The sequence below is a fragment of the Homo sapiens genome, chromosome 8, assembly GCF_000001405.40.
Source record: "Homo sapiens chromosome 8, GRCh38.p14 Primary Assembly".
In the NCBI taxonomy this organism is placed as follows: Eukaryota; Metazoa; Chordata; class Mammalia; order Primates; family Hominidae; genus Homo; species Homo sapiens.
The window spans coordinates 67298872-67319868 of NC_000008.11; the positions used below are offsets into that span (position 1 = coordinate 67298872).

At 41.7% G+C, this 20997-nt stretch overlaps 1 protein-coding gene across 17 annotated transcripts in view, besides 2 other annotated features; it reads right to left on the minus strand.

The window, feature by feature from the left end:
- ARFGEF1 (ARF guanine nucleotide exchange factor 1) overlaps nucleotides 1-20997 on the minus strand; it is a 170271-nt gene that overhangs the window by 125361 nt on the left and 23913 nt on the right. For 16 of the 17 annotated variants that reach the window (NR_182117.1, NM_001413186.1, NM_001413187.1 and 13 more), the window contains 3 exons: nucleotides 3565-3595; nucleotides 2353-2509; nucleotides 338-484 (listed from right to left, as the gene is read on the minus strand). Coding sequence is in view for 11 of the 17 variants with exons in the window: in NM_001413186.1 (NP_001400115.1) it covers nucleotides 338-484; nucleotides 2353-2509; nucleotides 3565-3595 (335 nt within the window). In the remaining 6 variants the exon portion in view is untranslated. The remainder of the gene's footprint in view (nucleotides 1-337; nucleotides 485-2352; nucleotides 2510-3564; nucleotides 3596-20997) is intronic. The other variant, NM_001413197.1, reaches the window with a different exon arrangement.
- Nucleotides 10809-11464: an enhancer, noted in NCBI's record as "H3K27ac-H3K4me1 hESC enhancer chr8:68221915-68222570 (GRCh37/hg19 assembly coordinates)". NCBI's record gives its function as "activates a minimal SCP1, AML or CMV promoter by ChIP-STARR-seq in primed H9 embryonic stem cells {active_cell/tissue: H9 hESC(primed)}" and the evidence as "EXISTENCE:reporter gene assay evidence [ECO:0000049][PMID:30033119]".
- Nucleotides 11465-12119: an enhancer, noted in NCBI's record as "H3K27ac-H3K4me1 hESC enhancer chr8:68222571-68223225 (GRCh37/hg19 assembly coordinates)". NCBI's record gives its function as "activates a minimal SCP1, AML or CMV promoter by ChIP-STARR-seq in primed H9 embryonic stem cells {active_cell/tissue: H9 hESC(primed)}" and the evidence as "EXISTENCE:reporter gene assay evidence [ECO:0000049][PMID:30033119]".

The following is a 20997-nucleotide window of genomic DNA, read 5'->3' on the forward strand; positions in this document are numbered from 1 at the left end:
TCTCCTGCCTCAGCCTCCTGAGTGGCTGGAACTACAGGTGCCCACCATCATGCCCAGCTAATTTTTTTGGTATTTTTAGTAGAGTATTTTTAGTAGAGATGGGGGTTTCACCATGTTGGCCAGGCTGCTCTCAAACTCCTGACCTCAAGTGATCCGCCCAACTTGGCCTCCCAAAGTGCTGGGATTACAGGCATGAGCCACTGAGCCCGGCCTCGAATAACCTGTATTATAGCTGGAATGCACATAAAATGATCTTTCCTAATGTTTTAAGGTGAAAGGCATCTGAATTTTGAAGATACAGATTATTAATAACAATTTTACTTTATATAATAATTACCTTTATTATCTGCAGCTGAACTCCTTCATCTGTCTGAGGGCCCTGAAAGCAGCCACATATTGTTTCAATAATTCTATCAATTAATTTTTTGCCTGGTGTTGTACTATCTGGAGCATTGCCAGTCAAGTGCCCATAAGCAATAAGTTTCTAAAATGGAGAAAGAAAACAAAGATCCTAAGTAAGGTAACAAATATTATACATACTAATGCAATATACATTAAAATTACAGTATACAATTGAATATACATAAAATTTTTACACAAAAACATAAAGGTATTATCAAAGCCAAAGCTATACCAACTTTTTCTGTAGAAACTTTATTCAAATATGCAAAGTTATTTATACTTGTAATAATCACAAAAACAGAACAATAACCACAATAAAACCATCAGGTAATATTTTGAGAAAGTCAGGCCTTGGAGAACCTGTCTCTGATGAGTTAGAATTGCTTACTGTGCTGGGCGCAGTGGCTCATGCCTGTAATCCCAGCACTTTGGGAGGCCTGCTTGCCTCCCACATTGTCAGTCCACATTGGGTGGACTGCTTGAGCTTAGGAGTTCGAGGCCAGCTGGCAACACAGGGAAAGCCCATCTCTACAAAAAATAAAAAATTAGCTGGGTGTGGTGGTACATGCCTATAGTCCCAGCTACTCAGGAGGCTGAGGTGAGAGGACTGCTTGAGCCTTGGGAGGTGGAGGTTGCAGTAAGCCAAGCCTGCGCCACTGCACTCCAACGTAGGTGACAGTGAGACCTTGTCACAAAAAAAAACAAAAAAAAAATTGCTTATTGCTTTCCACATAAACAAGGTTTTATTGATACTGCTTTTGTGAAAATTATCTTCATGCTTTTATATGACCCCCAATCTCTTTCCAAATGATTCATCAATATGTATAAAACCCAGTTTCCATATACTAGCTGAGATAAATCATAGATTTGTTCATTCATCATTATCAGTATACCCTGGAAGGAAGGCTTTACATATTATCATTCTAATTTTCCAGTGAAAACAAGATCACAATTCAGATGAACTTATCTTTAACCTATCCTTAAGGACAAATAATATGGTCTTTTCCTAGCTACTGAATTATAGTTGAATACATATAATTCCCAAATAGTGAGAACATCTGAAAAGAGAAGTATTCCTCTACTTAGAAACTTGTCTTACAAATATAATATCTATGAAGATCCTCTGTATATGTGTCAAACAGGGTAACAGAGTTCAGAAATTTTTCTGACATAAATGACTGCCATCGCTAAAGTATAGCAGTTAAATATTAAATTATATTAAGCTGCCAATATTAACCTATTGCTTCATATAAAACAGACACTGGCCAGGCACAGTGGCTCACGCCTGTAATCCCAGTACTTTGGGAGGCCAAGACGGGCAGGCAGATCACTTGAGGTCAGGAGTTCAAGACCAGCCTGGCCAACATGGTGAAACTCTTGTCTCTTCAAAAAAAAAAAAAAAAAAAAAAAAAATACAAAAATTAGCTGGGCATGGTTACACACACCTGTATTCCCAACTACTCAGAAGTCTGGGGCAGGAGAATTGCTTGAACACAGGGGGCAGAGGTCACAGTGAGCCAAGATTACGCCACTGCACTCCAGCCCAGGCAACAGAGCAAGACTTCGTCTCAAAAAATTAAAAAAAAAAAAAACAGCAGACACTTAGAAAAATTATTTGCAAATGGTGATGTATGTAAAGTCGGCAGCAGGTTAAAAGTATTACAGGTCTTGCATTTCACTGATGAGAAGAGACCAAATCAACACTTTTCATTATTGATAAACTTAGTAAAGATTTTATATCCCACTAAGTTAATGATTGTTAGTATTAAACTAGAAATATCTTTTTGCAACTATTATTATCTGTCTTAAATATAAAAAATCACTTGGATTTTTTACCACAAAAAAGAGTATTCAAAGCTTTCATGGAAATGTCTGAATCATCAATGTGAGTAATGTTTTAGAAACACATTCAAAGTACACAGTTTTTAGAAAGTGCCATTTTAGACATACCTGTAAGCAATCTAGAGATGTACTAACTATGCGAGGACATTTGGACTGGCATGCCAACTCAAAAGGCAAGAAGTACTTGTCTGCTTCAATAAAATTTGTCTTTGATTTCACTGGTGGAAGGGTGCTTGATCCAGCTTTTGCTTCTCCATGAGGAGGACTAAATGAGAAAGAAAAGTCTGATTATAGCGTATCACATTTATAATATTGATAATAAACCCATGTAGAAACACAGAATTTCAGTTCTAAAAGGAATCTTGCTAAACCAGTCCTCTATCTTCCCATATTTCGAGAGGAAACCCAAGCCCAGAGAAGTGAAGTGGTTTGCCACATAGTCAAAAGCTAGTGGCCAGAGCTGTGACTAACCACAAGACGCTGAAATCTTGTCTGCAAAACTGGTCTACAAAAACTGTAAAATTCAAGTTGCTTCTATTACAGAAATATTTTATTGTCACTTAACAAATTTGGTATCATAATACCTTAAAAAGCAATGGCCTTTCTATTTGTCCTTAAGTCAAAGTGAGTTTTTTTAGTTATTCAATATTGTCCTAAAAATGCCAACACTATCAAAAAACCTAGTAATTTTTCCAAATATGAATCAAAGTCTTTAAGAAAAGACTCTGAAGCCTATCTTATGGTATTTCAGAAGTATCTTTATATACTTATTTATATGAGAATCTTTTTGTATTTTTAAGTATGCTTAGAGCAGAGTCTGGTGGCTCATGCCTGTAATCCCAGCACTTTGGGAAGCCGAGGTGCGTGGGTCACTTGAGTTCAGGAGTTCGAGACCAGCCTGGGAAATATGGCAGAATCCCATCTCTACAAAAAATTAGACAGGCATGGTGGTGCTCGCCTGTAGTCCCAGGTACTCGGCAGGCTGAGGTGGAAGGATCACTTGAGCCTGGGAAGCAGAAGTTGCAGTGAGCTGTGATCACACCACCGCACTCCAGCCTGGACAACAGAGCGAGACCCTGTCTCCAAAAAAATATATGCATACATTTTTATAAATATATATAAAAATAGGTTTTAAGAAATATAATTGTATTTATTGTTTTTATATAATTGTATTTCTTAAAACCTATTTTTAAAGTTGATTTTACTATAAAACTCACATGCAGAGAATTTGCCACACTAAAATACAGATGACTATATTATTTTGACCAAGACTGACAAGTTTGAAAATTATTTTTACTAAAGAAAAGAAATCCCACAAACCTCTGTTTTTCAGTTTCCGCTTTTATTTCCTCTGAGGGGAAAAAAAAAGAAGCATACATTAGAAAACTGGACAGCAGAAAGACTGAGTAATTTCTTAAGTTCTATAAACTCATTTGGAACTTCTACAAAAAGTTGGAAAGAATGCAAATTTAATAAAAATTAGATGCTAAAATTGTTTCATCTAAATTTTTTAATTTACACAAATAACATAAAACTATATGAATAGGTACATTAACAAACATAAGGATAGGTGAAGTTACAGATTATTAATTCCCAACGCATTTCCTTTTCTCAAAGCATTTCCTTTTTCGTCAAGTAACTAGTTACATTAAGCAGAAGCATTAATATTAAGAACAGGGCCAAGTTCAGTGGCTCACGCCTGTAATCCTAGTGCTTTGGGAGGCCAACGCAGGAGGATCACTTGAGGCAAGGAGTCTGAGATCAGCCTGGGCAACAAAGACCCCATCTCTTAAAAAAAAAAAAAAAAAAAAAAAAAAATTTAAATCAGCTTGGGCATGGTGGTGTATGCCTACAGTCCTAGCTATGTGGGGCAGGGGGTTGAGGTGGGAGGGTCCCTTGAGCCCAAGAGTTAAAGGTTACAGTGAGCTATAACCACTAGACTCCACTACAATCCAGCCTGGGCACAAGAACAAGACCCTGTCCTCCCACCAAAAAAAAAAAATCACAACAGAATAATGTGTATGCTATAATGAAGTCACAAAATGTACGGCAGATGTTTGGGGACAGGAGGAAAAACACCTCAATGCACCAACCTTGTGATTACCCCAGGGAGATTATCAGACCAGAACTATAACTTCTTAAATATGTTTGTGCATTGATATTTAACTCATTTTTCTATTTATGACTATACAAGGCCCTATAAAATACACATGCTCAATTTAATGGGAAATTTTCCCTTTCACTATTTATACTATAAGGTATCAGATAAATTAGACAAATCCTACCCGTAATAGAAGACCCTTAAATTTAATTGGCTGAGCACAGTGGCTCATGCCTGTAATCCCAGCACTTGGGGAGGCCAAGGTGGGCGGATCACCTGAGGTCAGGACTTCCAGACCAGTCTGGCCAACGTGGTGAAACATCGTCTCTACTAAAAACACAAAAATTAGCCAGGCGTGCTGGTGGTGCGCGCCTATAACCACAGCTACTCGGACGGCTGAGGCAGGAGAATCACTTGAACCTGGGAGGCGGAGGTTGCAGTGAGCCAAAATCACACCACCACCCTCCAGCCTCAGCGACAGAGTGAGACTCCATCTCTTAAAAAAAAAAAAAAATAATAATTAATTAATATATTGGGGAATCTGGCTAATTGACTAAATCTGCCTGAAATTTGGAAAAAAGGTATTCAAATGTGTGCCAAGTACTACTACACTTTACATATACTAAACTTTACATAGACTATTACACTTTACATGCAACTAATGTATTTATGTTTGACAACAATCCTATGAGGTGTGTACTATTATATCTTCATTTTAAAGACTGGAAAATTGAGGAAGAGAGGTTGAACAACTTGTCCAAAGGCTGCATGGCTTGGACGTATGGCTAATCAGGTTTCAATATTAGGTAATCTAACTACAGATTCTGGTTTATTAACCGTTCTACCATATAGGTGTATCTGAGAAACTGAACAAACTGTGCTAAATTGGGGTATGATAAACAACTACTGGCCTATACATTTTTAACACTATCACTAACTGAGCATCTTTCACGTACCAGATACTGTATTAAACCCTTTAAAAAGCGACTTTGACAAATCACCTTGCTATACAATTTCTACAATTCATTCGCACAATCCATACAACTTATTCATACAATACATACAAATTTACTCATTGCCTACTGTGTGCCAGGCATCTGATGTTCAGTATTTCAGTTTAGTTTTCTGTGAACCAAACCCCTTTCCATTTTATTACTGGTAGAACTAGAAGGCAGATAGTATAAAAATATTATCTGCAGCTATTTAAAATACCACTTTAATAAAGGTTCACAATGATATTTAAGATCTGTATATCAGTTACTAAAATTGCACGGCTCACCAACAGATACAATCAAAAATAATCTTTATCACTTGAAAATATATGTGTGGGCTGGGCGCAGTGGCTCACACCTATAATCCCAGCACCTTGGGAAGCCGAGGCACATCGATCACTTGAGGTCAGGAATTTGAGACCAGCCTGGCCAACATGGTGAAACCCCATGAAATACAAATATTAGCCGGGCATGGCGGTGCATGCCTGTAGTCCCAGCTACTTGGGAGGCTGAGGCACAGGAATCGCTTGAACCCAGGAAGCGGAAGCTGCAGTGAGCTGAGATTGCGCCACTGCGCTCCAGCCTGGGTGACAGAATGAGACTCTGTGTCAAAAATAAATAAAATAAAATAAATGTATGGATAAGGAGGAAATGCTGTGTTGACTGACCTAAATCATCATAAAATAATTTAAGTATTCTTCATTTAAAAAAATTATCATTATTTAAGAGGCTGAGATACTACTACAAACCAGTAAGGCAGGAAAAAAGGCAAGGCAGGGGAAGAAGAGGAGCTGGCAGTTTTTGTTATAAGGTGAATTCCCATTTGTAAAATAATTACAGAATAGGATATTCTAGTTAAGTAAATTATACGCTAACTAGGAATATCAGAGGAAATGAAACATTTTAAAGAGCACTGTGTTTTGATACCAAATATCACTAAATAACTGTGAGCATGAGAAACAACTCTAACTTCACTAACTACTAGATAATAAAGGTTCCTTATATTCTAAAACATGGGTGAACAGAAGCCTACCATAAGTTTTTGTGCAGCCCACGAGTGGAAGAACAGTTTTTACAGCTGAACATCTGCAATCAACTTGATAGGGAAACTAAGGATCAGAATAAATAATGGCCAGTTCTAAGGTCAGATAACTGATAGGCGGTGATCCAGAAACTTGTTTCTCTAGTTGTTTTTGTTTGTTTTTGTGAGATAAAGCTTGCTCTTGTTGCTCGGGTTCAAGCGATTCTCCTGCCTCATCCTCCTGAGTAGCTGGGATTACAGGCATGCGCCACCACACCTAGTTAATTTTGTATTTTTAGTAGAGACGGGGTTTCTCCATGTTGGTCAGGCTGGTCTTGAACTCCTGACCTTAGGTGATCAGCCCGCCTCAGCCTCCCAAAGTGCTGGGATTACAGGTGTGAGCCACCGCGCCCGGCCTTGTTTTTCTAGTCTTAAACTAGTGTATTACCCAATACATTGTGCTATATTTAAGCAAACTTGTAATAACTGGTGCAAATGAAGTGAAAAATATCATTCTACAATTATCAGGATTACATTCCCCCCTTATCTGCAGGGGATATATTCCAAGACCTCAGCGGATGCCTGAAACCTCAGATTAAATCAAACTTGATTTCTGTCAACTAGAACATATTTCTGTTCATGTCTTTCATGACAAATTTAATGCCTTTTTCATCTTAACTAAGTACTTATCATATACTATGGCCGTAATTTTCAGTTTGAAGTTCGACAGCAAAACTAGCAAGAATTTATTTTTCCTTCTTCATAATTTCACAGACAGAAGATTCTTTCTTACTACAAATCTTAGTAACCTCAGCATATGATTGTTTTTTCTTAAGTTGAGAACTTTCACCTTTTCACCTAAAGGAAGCACTTCACAAGCTTCTCTTTGGCGTATCTGAATTGCCAGCATCACCACTCTTGTGCTTTGGGGGTATTAAGTAAAATAAGAGTGACTTGAACACAAGCATGCCCTACTACAACAGTCAGTTGTGATAACTGAGATGGCTACTATGTGACTAAATGGGAAGGTAGCTTATAGAGCATGGAGACACTGGACAAAGATTCACATCCTGGGTGGGACAGGGCAAGATTTCATCATGCTACTAAGAATGGTGTACAATTTAAAACTTAACAATTGCTTATTTATGGAATTTCTATGTAATATTTTCTAGCCAAATCAACACTGTTTATAAGGCACAGGACACATTTAATAAACAGGAAAGACTTTTTTTTTAAACTGAGTATATGCGAGTTATACCTGATCTCCTAAGTATATTAAACATCTCCCCTCATAATATTATTTTTACTATCAACTTGTTTAGCTGCTTTTTCCACTGACAGTACAAATACAACCCGCAAAATAATATTTATATGGATTCAACAAATTCTATTATCTGTACACTATGAATTATTTGTATTTACCTCTCATTACATCAATTTTGTCTTATATATAGTATAGTTTACAAAGTAACAGCAGCTACTCAATGCAAACTGAAGTGGTAATTTAAGGAAAGCTCTCGAAAGCAAATGGATAGTTTTGTTTGTTTGTTTTGCTTTCCTTTTTTTCAGACAGAGTCTCACTCTGTTGCCCAGGCTGAAGTGCAGTGGTGCGATCTCAGCTTGCTGCAACCTCCTCTTCCTGGGTTCAAGCAATTCTCCTGCCTCAGCCTCCTGAGTAGCTGGGACTACGGGGTGCCCGCCACCAAGCACAGCTAATTTTTGTATTTTTAGTAGAGACGAGGTTTCACCATGTTGGCCAGGCTGGTCTCGAACTCCTGACCACAGGTGATCCACCTGCCCTGGCCTCCCAAAGTGCTGGGATTACAGGCGTGAGCCACCACGCCCAGCCACAAATGGATAGTTTTTAATAAACACATGAGAACCTACACATCCAAAGCATTGTCTCCTTCAAAGCAGTAACTCTGGGAGTCTATATATCAATTACCATAATGCCGCTAGTATTCAAAAATACTTATGGAATTCATCTTTTTGTGCTTCTTTCCTGCTTGCCTCCTCCTTTTAAATGAATAAACTCACAAAGGAAAATCATCTAGAAAGAGAATCAAACCAGCCACCAATTAATCACAAGTAGCTTTGAGCCAAGTCTGAAGAATGGAATGTGACTGCAAAACAAAAGTTCAGTATTTCTGTGATCTGTCTCAAACTGTGTGTGTGCAAGCACTGTTCTAAGAAAAGCTGGTGACAACAGGGATGAGTAAATGTAAATTCCACGGACAAGGAAGAAGAATGGAACAATCTCATTAACCTAGTAAGGCAGGGACATGTTAGGAAGAAAAGGGGTTTTGGCTTGCATAACTGGATAATAGACGTACTTAGCCACAATGCCATTTTCTCAATGTGCAGGGGTAGAGCTGGAGGGGTAGGAGTGAAGAAGAGTTAATGGTCATGTTTCATTTTAAGTAACTGTGGGATATTCAAGTGGCAATATTCAGCAAGAATCAAGATTTATGAATTTGAAAACTGGGAGAGAGTGTGGCTGACTATATTTCCCAAAACGACCACTATGGTATCTGCCATACCACGTGTTCTTCTACATAGTGACCTTGCCACCAGGAGATATTCTAACTCCCCTCCCCTTAAATCTGGGCTGGCCTTAGAGATTCATTTATAACCAACAAAATGCAGTGGAAGTGACAGTGAACAACAGCTGAGGTTAGGTCAGAAAGGCCAAGCAGCTCCTGCCTGATTCTCTTAGAATAGAATACTGGCTTTCCAGGCACCCCCTCTTGGAGCCCAATGGCCCTGTTGTGAGAAGCCCAAGCCACTTGGAGGCTACAAAAAATAGTTCCGTCACCAGTCCCAGCTGAGCCCAGCTTTCAAAGTCATCACCATCCAGGCACCAGACATGTAAGTAAAGATGGCTCCAGAGGATTCCAGTTCCTGGCCATTCACATCTCCCTCAGTCATTTCAGTTTGCCCAGCTGAGGCCCCAGACACTGTGGAGCAGCAGCATGCCCCATCTGAATTCCTGACACACAGAACCTGTAAGCATAATAAAATGATCACTGCATTACACCACTAAGTCTTGGGTGGTTTATTATACAGCGATGGACACCTGGAATAGGAAAAGTTAAAGAGGCTTAGAGAGAATGGGGTTTGAAATAACTTCTTGGCAAATGGGAGAGACAGCTACCTAGAGGTACAAAAGGATTGCCAGGATCATGGAAAGCTCTTTTAATGTGTTGTGAAAATCTAGATAAGGAAACCACATGGTTAACAGATATAGAGCTTAATAAAATGCAGCTAGGGCTCTGTCCCCTAAATCAATTCCTTTGTAATATGCCTGGCAATCCCTGACTCCTCCCCTCAAGATGGAGGCTGAACTTCACCTCTTAGGTGAAATATTCCACAGCCTCAGCCTCTTGCCCATTTGCCATTCTTACTCATCATCCCTGCTTATGTGCTCCCATAGAAACAAGGACCTATTTTTATAAGGCACTTATTTATAAAGCACTGAGATTATTTGCTTACCTTTGATTCTGAGCTACTTGAATGCAAGGAAATTTTTTTATTTTTTAATTTTATTATTTTAATGGACACATATTAATTGTATATATTATATATTTATGGGGTACAATGAGGTGTTTTGGTATGTTTTTACTATATGGAATGACCAAGCTAATTAACAAATCCAACTCACATACTTTTTTAATTGTAAAAATATTTAAAATCTACCTTTAGTAATTCTGAAATATATAATGCATTATTATTTATTACAGTCACAGTAGCGAAGATATGGAGGCAACCTAGGTGTCCATCATCAGATGAATGGATAAAGACAATCTAATAAAATATACACAATGGAATACCATTCTGCCTTAAAAAGAAGGAAATCCTGTCATTTGCGACAACATAGGCAAGATATTACACTAAGTGAAAAAATGGAAGATACTACGCTAAGTGAAAAAAGTCAGGCACAGAAAGACACATGATTTTACTTGTATGTGGAATCTAAAAAAGTCAAACTCATAGAAGTAGAGTAGAATGAGGGTTACCAGAAGTTAGAGGAGGTACATAAATGGGGAAAAGAGAGATAGCGATCAAAGGATACAAAATTTCAGCTAGACCAGAAGAATAAGCTTTAGTGATCTGTTACATAGAACAGGGACATTTTTCATTCTTCTTTGCATTCCTAGCATCCAGCACAGTGTGAGTTACATAGTATGCAGACATTTAATAAATGCTACCATATTCTGGAGAACTAAAAGAGAAAGAAAAAATACCATCTTGTTCTTCTTTGCTATTTTCTTTCCTTTTCCTTCGCATACCTTCCCTACTTATGATTATTACATATAACATCAGGGGCAGAAAGTGACACTGTTCCTAAAGCCATCTGTTTTGAGTTTATACAAAGTGTAACCTCTACTTAGATTCATAAGTTTTTAAACAATTTAACTGGTTAGAAGAAACAAACTATGAAGCCCAGGTGATTTGGAGAAAAAAATACTTTTTGCTCATTAGCATCAGAGTCTCAGATTCAGGGGTGTTAACTAGCCTCTTTTGTCAAACAAAACAAAATCTTGTGAATGGTCTTAATCAATAGTTTTCCAACGTTTCTGACTGCAAACCACTATCCTGGATCCCAGAAAACACCTACATATATGTTATGAAAATAAAAAATTAATTATTATCCTTGTTATTCTGGGATATATTTTCATTTTCTATTCTATTAAAAACCAATCATAATACTAGTCATAAGCCACAAAATTGACTTCACGATCCAACTTTGCGTTGTAACCACTAATACAAAATACTTTGGTATTATACACAAACCTATAGATTCAGCTGAGCAAACCCAAACAGGATAGAAATCCAAGTTAAGATACACCAGAATCGCTCCCCTCTCCCTCTCCCTCTCCCTCTCCCCACGGTTTCCCTCTCTTTCCACGGTCTCCCTCTCATGCGGAGCCGAAGCTGGACTGTACTGCTGCCATCTCGGCTCACTGCAACCTCCCTGCCTGATTCTCCTGCCTCAGCCTGCCGAGTGCCTGCGATTGCAGGCACGCGCCACCACGCCTGACTGGTTTTGGTGGAGACGGGGTTTCGCTGTGTTGGCCGGGCCGGTCTCCAGCCCTTAACCGCGAGTGATCCGCCAGCCTCAGCCTCCCGAGGTGCCAGGATTGCAGACGGAGTCTCGTTCACTCAGTGCTCAATAGTGCCCAGGCTGGAGTGCAGTGGCGTGATCTCGGCTCGCTACAACCTACACCTCCCAGCCGCCTGCCTTGGCCTCCCAAAGTGCCGAGATTGGAGCCTCTGCCCGGCCACCACCCCATCTGGGAAGTGAGGAGTGTCTCTGCCTGGCCGCCCATCGTCTGGGATGTGAGGAGCCCCTCTGCCTGGCTGCCCAGTCTGGAAAGTGAGGAGCGCCTCTTCCCGGCCACCATCACATCTAGGAAGTGAGGAGCGTCTCTGCCCGGCCGCCCATCGTCTGAGATGTGGGGAGCGCCTCTGCCCCGCCGCCCAATCTGGGATGTGAGGAGCGCCTCTGCCCGGCCGCGACCCCGTCTGGGAGGTGAGGAGCGTCTCTGCCCGGCTGCCCCATCTGAGAAGTGAAGAGACCCTGTGCCTGGCAACCACCCCGTCTGAGAAGTGAGGAGCCCCTCCGCCTGGCAGCTGCCCCGTCTGAGAAGTGAGGAGCCTCTCCACCCGGCAGCCACCCCATCTGGGAAGTGAGGAGCCTCTCCGCCCGGCAGCCACCCCGTCCAGGAGGGAGGTGGGGCCCGGGAGGGAGGTTGGGGGGTCAGCCCCCCGCCCGGCCAGCCGCCCCGTCTGGGAGGTGAGGGGCGCCTCTGCCCGGCCACCCCTACTGGGAAGTGAGGAGCCCCTCTGCCCGGCCAGCCGCCCCGTCCGGGAGGGAGGTGGGGGGGTCAGCCCCGCGACCGGCCAGCTGCCCCGTCTGGGAGGTGAGGGGCGCCTCTGCCCGGCCGCCCCCACTGGGAAGTGAGGAGCCCCTCTGCCTGGCCAGCCGCCCCGTCCGGGAGGGAGGTGGGGAGGTCAGCCCCCCGCCCGGCCAGCCGCCCCGTCCGGGAGGGAGGTGGGGGGGGTCAGCCCCCCCGCCCGGCCAGCTGCCCCATCCAGGAGGTGAGGGGCGCCTCTGCCCGGCCGCCCCTACTGGGAAGTGAGGAGCCCCTCTGCCCAGCCAGCCGCCCCGTCCGGGAGGGAGGTGGGGGGTCAGCCCCCCGCCCGGCCAGCCGCCCCATCAGGGAGGGAGGTGGGGGGGTCAGCCACCCGCCTGGCCAGCCGCCCCGTCCGGGAGGGAGGTGGGGGGGGGTCAGCCCCCTGCCTGGCCAGCCGCCCAGTCTGGGAGGGAGATGGGGGGGTCAGCCCCCCGCCTGGCCAGCCGCCTCGTCCGGGAGGGAGGTGGGGGGGTCAGCCCCCCCGCCCAGCCAGCCGCCCCGTCCGGGAGGTGAGGGGCGCCTCTGCCCGGCCGCCCCTACTGGGAAGTGAAGAGCCCTTCTGCCCGGCCACCACCCTGTCTGGGAGGTGTGCCCAACAGCTCATTGAGAACGGGCCAGGATGACAATGGCGGCTTTGTGGAATAGAAAGGCGGGAAAGGTGGGGAAAAGATTGAGAAATCGGATGGTTGCCGTGTCTGTGTAGAAAGTAGTAGACATGGGAGAATTTTCATTTTGCTCTGTACTAAGAAAAATTCTTCTGCCTTGGGATCCTGTTGATCTGTGACCTTACCCCCAACCCTGTGCTCTCTGAAACATGTGCTGTGTCCACTCAGGGTTAAATGGATTAAGGGCAGTGCAAGATGTGCTTTGTTAAACAGATGCTTGAAGGCAGCATGCTCGGTAAGAGTCATCACCACTCCCTAATCTCAAGTAATCAGGGACACAAACACTGCGGAAGGCAGTGTTTCCTCTGCCTAGGAAAACCAGAGACCTCTGTTCACTTGTTTATCTGCTGACCTTCCCTCCACTATTGTCCCATGACCCTGCCAAATCCCCCTCTGTGAGAAACACCCAAGAATTATCAATAAAAAAAAAATTAAAAAAAAAAAAAAACAACACACACCAGAATCAAACCCCAGAAAACTAAAGACAAAACAATCTTGAAAGCAGGTAGAAAGAAATGACATAATATCGATAGAAGAAAAATGATTACAGTGACAGTGGACTTCTTATTGGACACCATGGAAGCCAATAGGAGCTGTGGCACAACATTTCCAAGAGGTGAAAGAAAAGATCTGTCACCCAGAGTTATATAGATAATCTGTGAAAAATCCTAAAGGAATAAAGGTAAAATCAAGATCTTCTCAGATGAAGGATAACAAAAAAAACAAACAAACCTGTCACCACAAGATCTGTCCTAAAAGAATAACTAAAGTTCTTCAAACACAAAGGAAATCAGAAGTTTTGAAACACCGTGAAGAATGGGAAGTGTAAAAATATGGAAACATATAACACTATTCTCCTCGAGTTTTAAAAATTGTTACACATTTAACACAAAAAATAAAACACTGTCTTATGTGGTTGCTAATGTATGCAGAAAAAGTATTTAAGACAATACTACAGAGAGGGAAGATAAAAGGACCTAAATGGAGCTAAGGTTTTTCTACAGGTTACTCAAACTGGTAAAATGCTGACATCAGTATACTGTGAAAAGCTATGTATGAATAATGTAATGCCTAGTACAACCACCAAAAATCAAATATAAAGAGATACACTCAAAACTCCAGCAGAACAATCAAAATGGAATTCTAAAAATTTTTCAAGAGGTCCACATAAATGCATGAAAATGGACAACAAAAAACAGAGGGAACAACAGAAAGCAAAAGTAAAGTAGCAGACTTATGCCCTTATATACAAATATTACATTAAATATAAAAGGTCCAAGCACAACAATTAGAAGACATTTAGCTGGGTGCGATAGTGTGCACCTGGAATCCCAGCTACTTGGGAGGCTGAGCCAGGAAGATCACTTGAGCCCAGGAGTTCATTTTTTGGATTTCCTTGCATTGGGCTTCACCTTTATCTGGTCCTTCCCTGATTAGCTTAAGAATTAACCTCCTGAACTCTTTTTCAGGTAAATCAGGGATTTCTTCTTGGTTTGGATCCACTGCTGGTAAACTAGTGTGATTTTTGCGGGATGCTGACAGGCCTAGTTTTGTCATATTACCAGGGTTGGTTTTCTGGTTCCTTCTCATTTGGGTAGCCTCGGTCAGAAGAAAGGTCTAGGGCTGAAGGCTGTTGTTCAGATTTTTCTGTCCCACAGGGTGTTCCCTTGATGCAGTACTCTCCCCCTTTTCCCATGGATGTGGCTTCCTGTGAGCCGAACTGCAGTGATTGTTGTCTCTCTTCTGGGTCTAGCCACCCAGCGAGTCTACCCAGCTCCAGGCTTGGTACTGAGGCTTGTCTGAACAAAGTTCTGTGATCAGCCATGGATACCAGTGCCAGTTCTGGTAGAGGTGGCGGAGGGTGCAATGGACTCCGTGAAATTCTTAGCTTTGATGGTTTAACGCTCTATTTTTGTGCTGGTTGGCCTCCTGCCAGGAGTGGTGCTTTCCAGAAAGCATCAGCTGTAGTAGTGTGGAGAGGGACCTGCAGTAGACAGGGCCCTAGAACTCCCAAGATTATACACCTCACCCTTTGTTTTACACTATCAGGGTGGGTAGGGAAGGACCATCAGGTGGAGGCAGGGCTAGGTGGGTCTGAGCTCAGACTCTTCTTGGGTGGGTCTTGCTGTGGCTGCTGTGGGGGACAGGAGTGAGATTCCCAGGTCACTGGAGTTGTGTATCTAGGAGGATTATGGCTGCCTCTGCTGAGTCATCCAGGTTGTCAGCGAAGTGGGGGAAAGCCAGCAGTCACAGGTCTCACCCAGCTCCCATGAAAACTGAAGGGTCAGTCTCACTCCCACCTTGCCCCCTGCAACAGCCCCAAGTCTGTTTCCAGGTGAAGCGCAAAAGGAGCTTGAAAACTTGCCTGAGGCTTTCCGCCTCCCAGCTGTGAAAGAAAAGGACTTTAGTTCTTTCCCTAACTGTGAAGTCTACAAGCCGCAGATGGATTCAAGTCCTCCCCTGAGTTCTGACTAGGAGGCTTCTCATTCAAATTGCTACAAAATTCAGCTAGAGAATTCCTTCTCCCTGTGGAGTTTTACCCCCCTGCTCCTCTAGCCAACCTCCTGATGGATCCCTGTGATGCCAGGCAGGAATGGGCTGCTTGGGGACCCAGCAAGCTCCCAGGGCCTTTCTGCTGCTTCCTCTACCCCTGTATTTCGCTTGGCTCAACTAACTTGACTCAGCTCCAGGTAAAGTCAGAAACTTCTCCCGCAAACAGACCTTCAGCTTCTCCAGCGGGGGTGTGTGTTTGGGAGAGGAGGGTCTCCCTTTCCCACTTCTGCAGTTGGGGCACTCACAGTATTTGGGGGCCAGGGTGGGTGGAAATCTCCCGGGTCCTGCAAAGCAGTCCACTTCCTTCAGAGGGTCTGTGGGTCCTCTCAGGATTGCTGGTTTGTTCTTGCAGTCGATCTGGAGCTAAAACTCACAATGCAAGCCTCCACATGCTGCTCTGTCCGGAGCTGCAATCTAATCTGGCCTCCTGTCCTCCATGATCCCAAAATCTTTGAGCCCAGGAGTTCAAAAGCAGTCGGGGCAACGTAGCAGGACCCCAACTCTATAAAAAAATTTAAAAATTAGCTGGGTGGGCATGGTGGCATGTGCCTGTAGTGTCAGCTACTCAGGAGGCTGAGTCAGGAGGACTCCTTGAGCAAGCTGTGATCACACCACTGCACTCCAACCTAGGTGACAGAGCAAGACCCTGTCTCTTAAGAAAAAGAAAACACACATACCCACACACCTATATGATATAGTAGGATGAAAGTAAACAGATGGAAAAAGATATCAAAAGAAAGCAGGCGTGGCTGTATTAATATCAGATAAAGTAGAACTGAAAACAAAAAATGACCAGAACAAAAGACATTACACAATGATAGAAGGGTCAAATACATCAAGAATACATAGTAATCCTAAATGTGTATATAACAAAGAGCTTCAAAATAACATGAAATTGAAATGGATAGAACTAAAAGGAGAAACAGACAAATCTGCTATTTTAGCTGAAGAAGTAAACATCCCTCTTACAACAATACAACTACTAGACAAAAAAAATCACTAAGGATACAGAACTGAACACCACCATCAATCGGCAGGGTATAAATTTATAGAATACTCCACTCAGTAACAGACACACATTATTTTAAAATGTCCATGGAACATTCACCAAGACAGTCCATATTTTGGGCCATAAAACAAATCTCAACAAAGTTAGAAGAACTGAGATCATACAGAGTGTGTTCTTTTTTTCCGAGTAAAGTGAAAGCAAGTTTATTAAGAAAGTAAGGAATAAAAGAATGGTTACTCCACAGGCAGAGCAGCCCAGAGTGTGTTCTCTACCAAAATGAAATAAAAATAGGAATCATGGAGAAAAACTAATATTTCCAAACACTTGGAAATTAAACAACACACTTCTAAATAATCCATGGGTCAGAGGAAGTCTTAAGGGAAATTTTTAAAAAATACATGGAACTCAATAAAAATAAAAATATAACAAATTTTATGGGATACAGCTAAAATTGTATGGGATACAGCTTAAAGGGAGACTTACAGCACTTAATACTTCATTAGAAAAAAGTCCCAAATCTAAGCTCCCACCTTAAGAAACTAGGAAAAGCAGCACAGAATAAACCCAAAGCAAGCAGAAAAAAAAGGAAAAATAATAAATACAAGAGCAGAAATCAACAAAACTGAAAATAGAAAAATAGGAAAAATCAATTTAAAAAGCTGATTGTTTGATAAGATCAATAAAATTGAAACTCCAACAAGAGGAAAGAAAAAATAAAGCAGGGTATCACTACAAACACCGCAGACATTAAGAGGGACTAGGTGCAAACAATTCTACATACAAAGACCTGAGAACTGAGATGAATAGACCAATTCCTCAAGAAGCACAAGCTACCACAATTCTTCCAATATGAAATAGATCATTTGAATAGTCCTATAACTATTAAAGACATTGAATTCATAGTTTAAAAACTACCAAAAATGAAATATCTTGGACCAGATGGTTTCACCTGAGAATTCTACCACGTTTATAAAAGAATTTATAACAATCCTGTACAATCTCCTCTAGAAAATATTAGGGGATAAAACACATCTCAGTTGCTTTCAAGAGGCCAATATTATCTTGATAACAAAACTGGACTGTTGTATAATTTTTTTTTTTTTCTGAGACGGGGTCCACTCTGTTGCCCAGGCTGGAGTGCAGTGGCGCAATCACAGCTCACTGCAGCCTAAACCTCCCCAGGCTCCATGATCCTCCCACCTCAGCCTCCCAAGTAGCTAGGACACAGGTATGTGCCACCATACCCAGCTAATTTTTGTATTTTTTGTAGAGACAGGGTTTTGCCATGTTGCTCAGGCTGGTCTTGAACTCCTGGGCTCAAGTGATCTGCCCTCCTCGACCTCCCAAAATGCTGCGATTACAGGCATGGGCCACCATCCTCAGCCTGAACTGTTGTATAATTAAGAATCTGGTTGGTCTTTGTCCCTGGTTCAGGGAGGGAGCCTCTAAACCCTTGACACTTCCTGACAGGAGCATCTTTATTATTCATGATGAACCCCTTGGACAGTTTCAGGATAGGGATTAGTGAAAGACCAACTATGTGAGTAAAGTTTGGGCTTTGAACCACATGATCTCAGCCCCACCTCCAAGGAGGGGAGGGGGCTGCAGTTCAGATTCAATCATGTGACCAATGACTCACTCAATAATTCCTGTGTAATAACACCCCAACAAAAACCCTGGACACCCAAAGCTTGGGTAAGCTTTCCTGGTTAGTGATACACATCAATGAGCTGAGAGGGTAAAGCATTCTGACGACACAAAAGCTTTGCGTCTGAGGCCCTTCCAAACTCATCCTATAGTTCTCTTCTTTTGAATCATCCTAATTTGTGTCCTTTATAACAAAACCACAATCCTGAAATAGCACTTTCCTGAGTTCTGTGAGTTGCTCTACGTAACCGGAGGAGATAACAGGAACCCCTGAATTTGTAGCCAGTTGGTCAGAAGTGCTTGTGGTCTGGAAACTCTCAAGCATTAGCTGGTATCTGAAGTGAAAACAGTTTTGCCAAGGACTATGCCTTTAACCTGTGAAATACGACTCAACTCCAGAACCAAATTATGATGTAGTTAGCATCAGAACTGCACTGAACAAAGGCAGTATAGAAAAATGCAGACAAATATCACTCATGAATATAGACGCAAAAATCATCAAATACTAACTAGAATCCAGCAAGGTATAAAAAGAATTAAATACCATGACCCACTGGGGTTTATTCTAAAGACACAGAACTAATATTTAAAAAAAAAAAAAAAAAAAGGTTGGGAGCGGTGGCTTACACCTGTAATCCCAGCACTTTGGGAGGCTGAAGCAGGTGGATCACCTGAGGTCGGGAGTTCGAGACCAGCCCAACATGGTGAAACTATTAAAAATATAAAAATTAGCCAGGCACGGTGGCACTTGCCTGTAGTCCCAGCTACTCGGGAGGCTGAGGCACAAGAATTGCTTGAACCAGGGAAACAGAGCTTGCAGTGAACTGCGATTGTGCCACTGTACTCCAGCCTGGGTGACAGAGCAAGACTCTGTCTCAAAAAAAAAAAAAAAAAAAGTCAACCCCTGTAATCTACCATAGAAATAGGCTAAACAGGCCAGGCGCGGTGGCTCACACCTGTAATTCCAGCACTTTGGGAGGCTGAGGTGGGTGGATCACGAGGTCAGGAGATCGAGACCATCCTGGCTAACACGGTGAAACCCCATCTCTACTAAAAATACAAAAAATTAGCTGGGCGTGGTGGCGGGCGCCTATAGTCCCAGCTACTCGGGAGGCTGATGCAGGAGAATGGCGTGAACCCGGGAGCCGCAGCTTGCAGTGAGCCGAGATGGTGCCACTGCATTCCAGCCTAGGCAGCAGAGCCAGACTCCGTCTCAAGAAAAAAAAAAAAAAAAAAAGGCTAAAGAAGAAAAAAATCACATGATCATTTCAATTGATACAGAAAAATCATTTGACAAAATTCAGCATCCATTCATGATTTTAAAAACTCAGTAACCTAGCAATAGAGGAGAATGATAAACAGTAGCTACACAAAACCAAGAGCTGGTTGGGTGAGGAAACCCTCTCATCATTTCTACTCAACTTTGTACTGAACATCCCAGACAGTGTAAATAAGTAAATAAAGGTATATAGGTTAGAGAGAAATACAACAGTTCTTATTCACAGATTACATGATTATTTAAGTAAAAAATCCCAAGAAATCTTGAAGAAGAAAAAAACTCTAAGAACTCATAAATGAATTTAGCAAGGCTGCAACATGCAAAAATCAATCACATTTCTATATACTAGCAATGAACAACTGGAAACCCAAAATTTTAAAAAAATACTATCTACAGCCAGGTGCAATGGTTCACCTGTAATCCCAGCACTTTGGGAAGCTGAGGCAAAAAGATGGCTTGAGTTCAGGAATTCAAGACCAGCTTGAGCAATACAGTGAGACCGCCATCTCTACAAAAAAGTTTAAAAATTAGGCAGGGTGGTGCATGCATGTAGTCCCAGCTACTTGGGAGGCCAAGGCAGGAGGATCACTTGAGCTCACAAGGTGATAGCTGCAGTGAGCTAGGCTCATGCCACTGCCTGAGCAACAGAACGAGACCCTGTCTCAAAACAGAACAAAAACAAAAAAAAATTCACAATAGCTCACCACAAAATAAAATTCTTAAGTATGAACTTAACAAAACACATATAAAATATATACTGAAAGAAATGCTGATAAAAAGATCAAAGAACTAAAAAACAATAAATATATCAAGTTCATTGACTGAAAGTATAAAAACAATAAAGATTTCCCCAAAATTATCTGCAGATTTAATCCACTGCCAATCAAAATTCTAGCAGGATTTTCTGCACATAAACAGATTCTAACATTTGTTAGGAAAGGCAATGTAACTAGGATAGACAAAACAATTCTAATAAAGAAGAATAACTTGGGAGAAATCCCTATCTCCAATTTTAAGAATTTTAAATTATAATAATCAAAACAATGTAGTGTTAAAGACAGAAACACAGATCAATGGAATAGAGTCCAGACACAGACCCACAGAACTATAGATGATTAATTTTTGACAAAAGTACAAGTGCAATTCAATGGAGAAAGGATAATCTTTTCAACAAATAGTGTTGGAATTAGACACCCATTTGCAAAAAAAAAAAAAAAACTCTTGACCTAAAACTCCCACCTTATACAAAAATTAACTTAAATGGATGACAGATCTAAATGTTAGAACAAAAAACTATCAAACTTTCGGAAAACATAGGAGAAACTCTCTGTGAGTTTGGATTCGGCAGAGTTCTTAGATAAAATACCAAAAGCATGTGACATAAAAGAAAAAATAAAATGGATTTATCAAGATTAAAATGATTGCTCTGTGAAAGACAATGTTAAGAGAATAAAAGGTAAGCTACAGAAAATATTTGCAAATTGTTTATCTGGCAAAGACTTGTATCTAGAATATATACTTTAAAAACTCTTAAAACTCAACAGTAAAAAAACAACGAAATTTTTTAA